This window comes from Homo sapiens, chromosome 1 (assembly GCF_000001405.40).
Source record: "Homo sapiens chromosome 1, GRCh38.p14 Primary Assembly".
Taxonomy (NCBI): domain Eukaryota; kingdom Metazoa; phylum Chordata; class Mammalia; order Primates; family Hominidae; genus Homo; species Homo sapiens.
In genome coordinates, this window is record NC_000001.11 from 65,834,330 (window position 1) to 65,846,502 (window position 12,173).

Consider the following 12,173-nt stretch of genomic DNA (forward strand, 5'->3'; position numbering starts at 1 on the left):
CCTAAGCAAGTTTCTTTAAGCAAACATTTGGGATATGATGTTGAGTTTCTTGCTTAAAGAATGTGTAAAGCACTTAGTATGGGCCTCTTACACAGTAAAACTTAAATGCATGTCAACTATTAAGTTTTTATACCTTATATGAAGGATTTTAAGGTTCACGTCTATATGCAATGTAGAATTTTAAGAATGAGAAAGGGCGGAAAAACCAGTCATCATTTGCTGAGCCTCTACCATGTGCCACAGACTGTTCTAGAGAATTTACACTAATGGTCAAATTAACCCTTCATAGTCCCATGAGAGAAGTATAATTTGGTATAACTAATACCATTTTGTAAATATGGGAACTGACAGAGGCTTATATATAGCCACGTCTTCATGTCTAAATTGAGGCAGAATCCAGATGATAGCCCACTTATTTTTGACTCCAAATTTCATTTTGCCACTTCCTGGGTTGTACTGGTAAGTTCTAAATCACACCAAAATCAATAGAGAAGCCAAGCCCAACTTTGCATCCATGGTGTTACATTGGTAGTTTGAAATCAGTTATGGTGCAAATAATTACATCACAGGAATCATCAAACTCTGTAAATCAGAGCCTCATCCCTGGAGAACTGCTTGTTAAATATTTACCAGCACACCACTCTATCCATCTATAGCTCTCAACGCCTCTGGAATTTAACCTCCATAAAGATACAGAACATAACTTTGTTATGGTCTTTGTTGTCAGTTCTCAACAAATATTTACTTAGTGAATAAATTAATAATCAACAAATAATAGGACAAGCAGGAATTTTTAAATAAGCAAGTTGAGAAACCAGGGAACATGAATGGGAAGGTTTAGATGAGACTGAAATTGCTTTCTGTCTTTTTCTGGTATGCCTGCTTTGGCTGTTTCATAGGGCAGTACATAGGAAATGGCATCTAACACTCTTCAGTTTGTGTATAGAAATCATCCCTCTCTGTTCTCCAAAGAGAGCTTCCCAAAGCAATTCCTGAGCCATTCACAAGTTTCTGAAGAAAATTTGACATTTTTCCTCTCTTGTGGTGTTCATCGTAAGTGTATTTGCAAGCAGGAGTCCTGATTTTATAAGCAGAGAAAAAATTTTAACCCAGAAAAGTGTTAATTTTCAAAATACGATATCGGCAAACCTAAAGGAGAAGCCAAGACCAATTAGGTGGCCCTCAGAGAAGGCTGAGCAAGTGAAAAATAAAGGCAAATCCAACCATCTTGAGTAGGTTTCACTGAAAAGTTCTCTTGATTGAAATCTATTGATTATCTTAGTGAAGTCACTAGAGGCATCAACTTTTGACCAGTTTGGCCACATTTAAAAAATGTTTTCTGAGGACATTTGCACTGCTGTAGACTGGGGTACATGAGCTGGAGCACTACAGGCAGTTTCCAAGCTGTCTACATGTTAGGTCTGCATGGCAGTTCAAAAAATTGAATTAATGTCCAGAAATTAAATATCAGAGGATTTCTACTAAAAATCTGGATTTCTGAGTTGTCTTGAAAATTCAGTATATCCAGTAACACCAGACCTGTATTCCCACAAGGCAAAAATCCACTTGAGTGAAGTAGCTTTACTCTCTTTTTTTTTTATTTATATATTTTTATTTTTATTTTTTTCCGAGATGGAGTCTTGGTCTTGTCGCCCAGGCTGGAGTGCAATGGAATGGTCTCAGTTTACTGCAACCTCCGCCTCCCGGGTTCAAGCGATTCTCCTGCCTCGGCCTCCAGAGTAGCTGGGACTACAGGCACACACCACCACACCTGGCTAATTTTTGTATTTTTAGTAGAGATGGGATTTTACCATGTTGGCCAGGCTGGTCTCGAACTTCCTACCTCAGGTGATTCACCCGTCTCGGCCTCCCATGGTGCTGGGATTACAGGCGCAAGCCACTGCACCCGGACTTAGTAGCTCTGCTCTCTTTAGATGGGTCATACATTCTCCAACTCACCGCTATCCTTACCATGTCCCCATGTCCTATACATGGTCATCTCTACTCTGTAAGATCATTTATCTGGTCTTGTCTTCCTCTGATATCGCCTCAGAGTCATTTTCCTCATGTAATATTGATTACATGTGATGGTTGGGTGACTAGTGAGGGCTACAGTCTGTTGTTTAGCATCCAGTAATTCTTCTGCGAGGCTGTTAACCTTCCTGGTTTTCATTTTCCTCAGGTGTAAGTGAAGTGGCTGAACCAGGTAAACACCGGGGCATCCTATTGCTCTGGCCTTCTATGCTCACACATACTAAGCTAAGCACTTGTACTATTCTCTGACAGCTTTTTTTTTCCAACTCCTCTACATTTTTGTTTCAACTCCTTTACTTTTTTGTTTCAACTCCTTTACATTTCTATCTGTATTGCTATATCTCTCTTTCTCCATCTTTATCTCTGTCTTTATCATCATATAAAAGATTATTGTTCTCTTACTCTCTATTTTAGAGAAGGATGCCTACAGCTTATCCATGGTAGAGAGGAAGGGTGTTGGATCTTCATGAAGGCAAAAGGGCATGCCTGACCGTCCATTCTCCATTCTTCCTTCCTATGAGAGACACTGCTTTCTTTGTTTATAGTCTTCATGGGGCTTAAGCAGTAAAACACGCTGATTCTAAAAGAGGATTCCAGAACTCAGGGAGAAGACTTCCTTTTTACTTCCGCCATACTTCCTGAGTATAATTTGCTCATAATATAAACAGATCAACTGCTGGAAATGTCACTGTATACTTTTTAAAATTAAACATACCAGCCAGCACCAGTTTTTTTTTTTTTAATCATTAAGCTACCATGGTGATAGATATCCTAGACACATGTATATAAACAACAATTTACATTTTTCTATATATACTGCCCTAGAGATTATTTATATATCATGTATTGTATATACAAAGGACAAAGGGCTTATCACATTTAAATGGATAGCTTCTGAAACAGTATTTCTCAAGTCTGGTTCACAGGGATAAAGATACTACCTACAGGCCGGGCACAGTGGCTCACACTTGTAATCCCAGCACTTTGGGAGGCTGAGGCGGGAGGATCACCTGAGGTCAGGAGTTCAAGACCAGCCTGCCTCTACTAAAGAGACAGGGGCAAAACTCCATCTATACTATACTAAAAATACAAAAATTAGTCAGGTGTGATGGCCCATGCCTGTGATCCCAGCTACTTGGGAGGCTGAGGCAGGAGAATTGCTTGAACCTGGGAGGTGGAGGTTGCCGTGAGTCTGGATCATGCCACTGCTCTTCAGCCTGGACGACAGAGCAAGACTCCATCTCAAAAACAAAAACAAAAAATACTATCTACAATTCATTAGCATCTTCAGTAACTTGAGAACCAGAGTATATGGGGAAAGCTGACGAACAACCTTACTGGCATGGATTTTGTTTTCTTTACAATTCCTATATTTTTAACTTTTATTTTAAGTTCAAGGGTACATATGCAGATTTGTTACATAGGTAAACTTGTGTGTGTGTGTGTGTGAGAGAGAGAGGTCTGTTGTACAGATTATTTCATCACCCAGGTTTTAAGCCTAGTACCCATTAGTTATTTTTCTACCTCCACCTTCTGAAAAGGCCCAGTGTGTGTTACCTTGTTCCCCTCTATGTGTCCCTGTGTTCTCATCATTTAGCTCACACATGTGATTTTATTTTAGCACAACTCCTGTAGTGTACTTTTGCAGTATTTTCTACCACTTTGGATATAAAACATCATTGCAAAAATAAATGCATTTTATTTTAGTGTCATAGCTAGCTGGGTAGTACACAGTTGTTTGAAGGGATTGGGTTTTTTCCTCTTGACTTCCTTTTTTGTTCATTAGAAGTGTATGTCTTGCCAGTGAAACCTCCGCATGTACTTTTTATTTAGAGTCCGTAAGAACGGACATTATTTTTCAAAATGGGTAAAATATTTCACTAATGCATTTGTTATTTTGTGTTCTAGATCATCAAAAAAATGAATATTGACAAGAAATTTAATTGCCCCTTGCTTGTGGAGGAGGACAGAGATTATGTGGAAATAAAAACTATAGTAGAAACACACTTTCAAGCCTTTATAAGGTGTCTACTTTAGAAATAATTTTGTTTAGAACAGTTTACATTTTGATCTAATTAATCTTTTCTTCTTCCTTCCTTTAGATTGTCACTATATATATACGTATATGTATATATATACGTATATGTATATATATGTATATGTATATATATGTATGTGTATATATGTATATATATGTATATGTATATATGTATATGTGTATATATATGTATATGTATCTATATGTATATGTGTATATATATGTGTGTATATATATACATATACATATATATATGTTTTTTTCCTCCCATTTCTTTATTGTAGGAGCAGATAGTGCTAGTGATCGATTTAGCCCTGAAAGATGACTTGATAGTACTAGGTTACTCTAATAGCATTCCTTTACTTTCTTTTTCCTTTAATAAGAAAGGCAGGAAAAAAGAAATTCTGTTTTTCTTGGTGTTTGGAAAAGCTTCACTAATGTTAATTATTCTTACTGATTCATAAGCTCAAGAGGTTTCTGTTGATTAAAAATGACAATTGCAAGCACAGTTTCTGTGGAACCAAAAATACCTTGAAGCTAGTAAGTGTTTTGTATAATTTCATTGTGTTGGATGATGAACTTAAAAAGGTTGTATTAAGAAAAATAATTTATTGCTGAAAATCAGTTGTAACTTGTGGCTTGTGCAGTAGGTGTGTAAGATATCGAATTTTTGCTGTATACTTTAGGATTTGGAAATACTTAGACTATAAGCTATAAACTTAAGTTATGAAATAACAGTTATAAAAATCTCTATATTATTTACCTCCAGCTTTCCAAGATTAGATCTTTTGTTAGATGCATGTTTTGCTGTGATTTTATTTTATTATTTTATACTTTCATTCAATACCAATGATTTTTTTTTTTTAGTATTCTCCTATTATCTTTTTCTTTAAGTTCTGGGATACATGTGCAGAACATGCAGGTTTCTTAGATAGGTATACATGTGCCATGGTGGTTTGCTGCACCCATAAACCCATCATCTACATTAGGTATTTCTGCTAATGCCTTCCCTTCCCTTGCCCTCCACACCCTGACAGGCCCCTGTGTGTGATGTTCCCCTTCCTGTGTCCATGTGTTCTCATTGTTCAACTCCCACTTATGAGTGAGAACATGCAGTGTTTGGTTCTCTGTTCTTGTGTTAGTTTGCTGAGAATGATGGTTTCCAGTTTCATCCGTGTCCCTGCAAAGGACAGGAACTCATCCTTTTTTATGGCTGCATAGTATTATATGATGTGTCTATGTGCCACATTTTCTTTATCCAGCCTATCATTGATTAGCATTTGAGTTGGTTCCAAGTCTTTGCTATTGTGAACAGTGCTACAATAAATATATGTGTGCATGTGTCTTTATAGTAGAATGATGTATAATCCTTTGGGTATATACCCAGTAATGAGATTTCTGGGTCAAATGGTATTTCTGGTTCTAGATCCTTGAGGAATCACCACACTGTCTTCCACAATGGTTGAACTAATTTACACTCCCTCCAACAGTGTAAAAGTGTTCCTATTTCTCCACATCCTCTCCAGCATCTGTTGTTTCCTGACTTTTTAATGATTGCAATTCTAACTGGCATGAGATGGTATCTCATTGTGGTTTTGATTTGCATTGATTTTAAATATATATAAAAAAAATAAGCCAAGTGAAGTTAGTATGTGTAAATTGCACCACATGAGGATAAAAAAGATGGCTGAATTTCATAGAAAACTATATTGTGGCATCTAACCATATCCTTAAGACTCAGTTAATAAATACTTCTGTTTTATATGTATATGTTTGTGTCTGTGTGTGTGTGTACGTATAAAATGGTGAGAAGTATGAAAAAGTTGTAATAGAAGCAAATGAACATAAATTCCTCAAAAGAAAGATAGATTGGACCAAGACATCATATTCAATGTTGCACACTTTAAAATAACTGATTTATAATAAAAGTTTTAAAAGAAAAACATATAGTTATACTAATTAAGCTTGATGTACAAAATAATACCAAATTGGATTTAAAAAGAATTATTTTCTTAAGATACTAAAAAATTATCCTGATTTTTAATGAGTAGTTACAATTTTATTATAACTTTTTAAAAGTTTGTTTGCCTTTAGCATTTCTTAATATTATTGTAAGCATTAACAATACTAAACAAAACAAAAAAGAGTTTGAAGATTCAGTCGAGACAAATAGAAATAACAGTAAAAAAAGTTCCCAGAAAATGCGAGCTATTTAAGGGCATGAGCCATCTCTTATGTTATTTTGGTTAAATAAATGTCTCAGATCGTTAGCTACGAGACCCTGTGCTGGGCACTGGATGAATTAGACACACTTCCTCTGTCCAAGGTCAGATGAAGTGGCTATCTTTGCTCCTTATGTGCATATTTTTCACCTCTGTACTTTTGGTACCTAGCATAGAGCTGAACTCGTAAAAGGCAGTCAATATCCCCTTGTCGCATTGAATCAAATGTTTGTTGTTAGACTGAACAACTGAAATTTCGGAATCGCTATGTTGAGTCATTTTGGGCTTCTCAGAAATTTTGTAAATGAAACAGAATACAGGTGTAGGGTATTTTGAACTTGCTAGGATGCAAATTATTTAACAATATTCGAATGAAATCATTGTACTTAGAGGCCAGGCACGGTTGTTTACACCGGTAATCCCAGCACTTTGGGAGGCTGAGGTAGGTGGATTGCCTGAGCTCAGGAGTTCTAGACCAGCCTAGGCAACATGGTGAAATCCCATCTCTACTGAAAATACAAAAAATTAGCTGGGTGTGGTGGCACATGCCTGTAATCCCAGCTGCTCTGGAGGCTGAGGCATGAGACTTGCTTTAACCCAGGAGGCAGAGGTTGTAGTGAGCCAAGATTGTCACCACTTCATTCACTCCAGCCTGGGTGATAGAGCGAGACTCTGCCTTCAAAGAAGGAAAGAAAAAAAGAGAGAGAGAGAAAGAAAGAAAAGGAAGAAAGAAAGAGAGAGAAAGGGAAAGGAAAGGAAAGGAAGGAAGGAAGGAATTATTGCACTTAGAGTTCATTGCCATTTCTAGTTATGTTAATGCTTAGTATAGAGGAGTCTGGGGTAAGGTACCTGTGTGATCTTGGGGAAGCAGCCTACTGTCCTCAAACTAGGGATTTCTCCATCTTTAACATGAGGGCCAAAAACGGGTTATGAACCAGAAGTCGCAGTCATCTAAGGCTTCAAGGGAGGCCTTGAATTACTTAGAATGGTATGCAAAATGATTTAAATATGTTTGAAAATATGTTTTTTTACTTGGAGAGGATCCAAACTTCAATAGATTCTAAATAAGCCTATATTGCCATCTCTCTGGTCTAAATTATCTCTAGAGTTTATTTTACTTCGAAAAATAGTTTTTAGTGTAACATACAAAAATTTTAATCAATAGATTAAAAGTAGGCAACAAACCATCAACATGTTATTATATAAGAGAAATTCCATTTTGGATTGTTGTCTGTTTTCTACCCTGATTGAATAATTAAACCGTCAAGCAGCTAATGAACATTTATTGATAATTATTATCTATTCTGAGTGGCAATAACAAAAGGAAATAGTGAAAGATATACCAATAACTTTCTTCAAAGAATCCATTATCTAATTAGAAATATTAAATCAACTTAGTCTTTCCCTTCGATGTAGTCATGGAGGTGAATCTTACACCATGGACAATTAGAGGGAGCTATATTTAAGACTATATGGGTTTTAAGCGAAATAGATCATTTCTAGGGTATTTATTAGGGAGATACTATTTTCAAGATGTTGTGCTAATCCAGTCATGCCAGGCATATTTATTGAGTATTGACTTGCCAGACACAAAAAAACACTAATAAATACTATGTATGGTCTCTCAACATTAAGAAAGTGGTTTTTTTTGCAGGAAATACAAAAACAAATAATTATAGTGTTTTTATTCAGTATTATAATTCATATATGAAAGAGTTGCATGGGAGAACAGAAGCGGCACTCTAAGGTGACCCCTTTTTGTGATCCCTGGCTCTTAGTAGTTTGAAGTCTTATTGAGTGGTATAATAAAACATGCAAACAACTAAAACATAGGACAACATATATTGTATCATGATTAGCTGCAAATTGCCATGCTGTTTCTGAGGAAGGAGGTATATTTATACCAACTGTAACAAGGAATATTTAATTCAGCAGATATTTATTGTTACTGGATTTAAGTCCTATAATGTTCATCCGACTTGTTATTCCAAGCTTAAGATGGTACTTAGCACTTGGCATGTATTCAGTAAATATTTGCTGAACAGATAAATACATGAAGACCCACTTCATGCCAAGAATAGTGCAAAATACCCACAAACATAGAGGCAGAGAAAAATAAGTTTGTGCCCTAAAAATGCTCACAGTCATCATATACATGCGTGTGTATTTATTTTCAAATCACTATGTTACATGGTAATAGAGTTGCATGCAGAGCACAAGAGGTACTTCTGAATCTTCACAGAAGAGACATTGACATTCTCAGAGAATGGGTGGCGTCTAGGAGGATGAATAGGAGCTCATGCCAGGAAGATAGGGAAGTGGAGGAAGGAGTTCCAGACAGAGGGTGTTACATATGCATAGGCACTGGCATTTGAAAGTTTATGGATTTGGGGGATAACTATCAAATGTGTAGGATGTATATGGGTAAAGGAAAGGAGAAAGATGAGACTGGAGATGTAGACCATTGGGGACCATTTCTTAAAGGGCCTTTTCTGTCATACTAAGGAGCTGGAGTCATTCTGAAGGCCTGAGGTACACTGAGGAATTATGAAGAAAAGAGGTTATATAGGAGGTATACTCAGGAAGTTTCCAGAAAGAGTGAGGCTGAGAAGGCCCAGCTTCCAACACACGAGAGACATACTTACACTTCCTAGGAAGGCCCCTAGAGAAGAGAATTACAAAGATTCATTTGCTGGCTTCTCTTTCATCATTTGTTTTTATCATTTGGAGCCTGGATACTCCAATACCTATATGGCAAACTTTGCCCTTTCCTTCCCCAAGGTACAGCTGTTAAGAGAGTGCATGAAAATTTCCCACTACCAAATGCCATGGGTGGTTATGAGAAGCACCTCTTGTTAACAGTTAAAAAGTAAAATACATTTTGGACTTTCAGCTTTTCATTTCCTACCTATGGGACATGGAAGAATGTTCATTGGTGTATATAAACTTGAGTTTCTTAATGTGAAAAATAAGGATAAAAGTTTTTAAGTATATATATATGCGTTTAATCAGTCTGTTGAATTAAGTCAGTAGGTGTTGAAAGACAGGATTTGTTTTTTTTCCCTTAAGTCTGCTTTTATCTTACATTTGCAAATAAGAAGTTTTGTATCCAAACATATTATTCTTCCAAAAATTTTAAGGATAAAGATGTACTTTTAAAAGAAGCTATAACTTAGCATTTTCTTTTGGTTAAATATAATTATTCTAAAAATGGCATATCTCTACATTATGTTTGCTTGGTAAAACTGAATATTACTCGCCTGTTTCCACAGTATGACATAAGTGGAAATAAGACAATTATAGAACATCTTCATAACAAAGTTACCATATAAAGCTTATATGAGTGGATGGCTTAATTAGATTGTTTTTAAAGTTTCAGGTAGTTCAGTTTCTTTTTTCCTGGTTTTTACTTTCTGTTTGACCTTCAGAGAAACTAACTGTATTTACCTCAAACATTTCTTATCCACATGTCTTCAATATATAATCATAATATTTGGTACATCTGAAGTGCCTGACATCTGACGCTTCTGAATTGCTTCATAAATGTGGATTTAGGCCTTGGGGGCCAGATGGCAAAAGTCAACAGAATAAAAGTATTTATTAGGTATTCATGATTGTACTGGGTGCTGTACTGGATAACAAAATTGAGAAAGAAAGTATTTTCTATGATTTCAGGTATCCTACAATTTAGCTAGGCAGTCCAAACACAAATACATTTTTGAAGAGGAATAAAAGTAGTGCGCATGGAAGTGTTTGGCATCGCCTTGATGATAGATCTAACATTACCAAAGAAATGTTGTCTCAGAGCTGGACTCTCGCAGACCGTTGTGTTCTCTTAGACAAATGGAAGCTTTCCAGCTAAAACTGGCTTAATTCATTACTATTTACTTGGTAGCCAAAATAACTTACTGCCTTATTTTGTGTTGGATTTGAAATTCAAAAAAAAGTAAACAAAACAAAATAAAAACAAATTTGAGTTTCTTGTAATTTATTTTATTATAGGGAGTTTTGTTCCAAGACTGTTTAGTGACCAAAACCAAAAAGGCTGCTGTCTTTAATATGTAGTTTATTCTCCCCACAAACACATTACTTGAACAGCAACTAAAAAAAGAGATAAAAAGAAGTGGGGAGGATATACTAGGCATTCTCTTCTTCTTGGCTCAAAGCTTAGAGGTTGTGACCAGCTGGACAGCTTTCCAGAAATCATAAGCAGATACTGGGCCAATTGTTTTTATTACAGAATTATGGAGGAATTCTGAGGTGTAAATGATTTGTAAAGCAGCTCTATTTAGGAGTAGTTTTGCGGAGGTTTGGATCAATTCAGTGGGTTGTAGTTTGACATATGAAGTGATAACTGTATGCCTAGACAGTCCCAGCTGCTGAATTTGCAACTACAGTGAAGAGTTCTGCCCACCCCCATCTGTCTAAGGGGCATCTCCACCTGTCATTTCTGTACTCTGGCCTCTATGACATGATAAATTGCTTTTAATTAGAATTGCAGACAATTTTTCATTCTCTGGATAATGTCCCAGCGTACAACATAACATCCAACATAACTTTGGCAGTTCAGAAGTGAGCTTAAACAACATGCAGTACTTCTCTCCACAGTTATAAATAATTGTAAATAATTTGTTGAGAAATATACACTCATTGCAATATAAACATGAAATGCCTTTATTTTTCCAATCTAAATTTTTAGCCCTGCTCTGTGGATCATTTTCTAGCATCCTTTAACAAAATCTTGGCTAGCTTCTATAGCTTCCTAGCCACTTCTCAGTTATTAAGACTTAGTCTAGCCCAGTTTAGAACTTCAGTCTCGTGTGAGTCAAAGCTCCCTCTCTCTACAGCATGGGCTGGAGTTGTAACCCTAACTTTATTGTAGGGGTGAGATATGGTCTGGCTCTGAGATACCGTCAATGTTTTACTCTTTGAGATGAATAAGCTCTTCTGGTTTAAGGAAATGTGGGCGGAATGAAGGAATAGGGAAGCAGAGCTCTTGGTATAGCTGGTCTCATATTGATGATGCTGAACAGTGCTCCTGCTGTCACTGTATTCCATCCAGTTCTGGTCTCTGTCCATGTAGAGCGATATCCACCTAAGTGCTGTGCATGGTCCTCGGGGTGTCAGCTTTACCCCTGCACCCTTTATCTTTAATGACTCTTTCAGATTGAGGAAGTCAGATTTTTCTTAAGTTCTGCATCTCCTTTCTCCGGATGGGTGTCTCATTACAGGAAACCATGAGAACTCCTCCAACTTTTTCTCCAGTCCCTATGCAGGGGCTTAGAGAATAGGGAAGTAAATTACCATCTTGTTCTTCAAAGCCACACTGTATCTTAGTATCTTTAAGCTGTGCCTGGCTGGCCGCCTCCTCCGTGGGCTTTTCCTCTTCAGAAATCAATTTTTCAGAAGAGGGTCCCAATCCCTGTGTTCACATATCTTTCAAACTTCAGGTGTTATGGTCTAAGTTCTTACTAATCTTGTTTGACTCCATGACAGCACTAGGTAGGCCTACAGGTTGTTTCCACCCAGGAAGCATCCAATCAGGGTGGATGTCACGACCTTCCAGTCTCTATCAATGGGTCTCTAGGAGCCACTCTCCCTTAATTCCAGTGAGGAGAAAGCACAGAGAGAGGAGGGTGTGGTTTCTGTCCATGAGCTCTGCATTTCCCAACCCCTTTGGGGGCTGACAACAAACTTCACTAGACTGGGTTAAGTATAGAATAAAGTATATTTTAATAGATAAACATAGGGCAAGGTTGTGGAATTCAGAGAGGCAAAAATGAACACAGTTGAGAAATCGTAGAACATGTTTGGAGACAAAGAAATAGGTCAGTTTGGTTGTGGCATAGGAGGTAATAAAAATCAAGTTTCAGTAAGAA

The 12,173-nt window shown here is 36.8% G+C and overlaps 1 protein-coding gene across 3 annotated transcripts in view, besides 1 other annotated feature; it reads left to right on the top strand.

The window, feature by feature from the left end:
* The window catches only part of PDE4B (phosphodiesterase 4B), a 582,070-nt gene that overhangs the window by 41,820 nt on the left and 528,077 nt on the right, over nt 1-12,173 (top strand). The gene's annotated exons all lie outside the window — the stretch shown is intronic.
* Nucleotides 6,729-6,995: a silencer, noted in NCBI's record as "fragment chr1:66306741-66307007 (GRCh37/hg19 assembly coordinates)". NCBI's record gives its function as "represses an EF-1alpha promoter that drives an FKBP-Casp9 reporter gene in an ReSE screen in HepG2 liver carcinoma cells {active_cell/tissue: HepG2}" and the evidence as "EXISTENCE:reporter gene assay evidence [ECO:0000049][PMID:32094911]".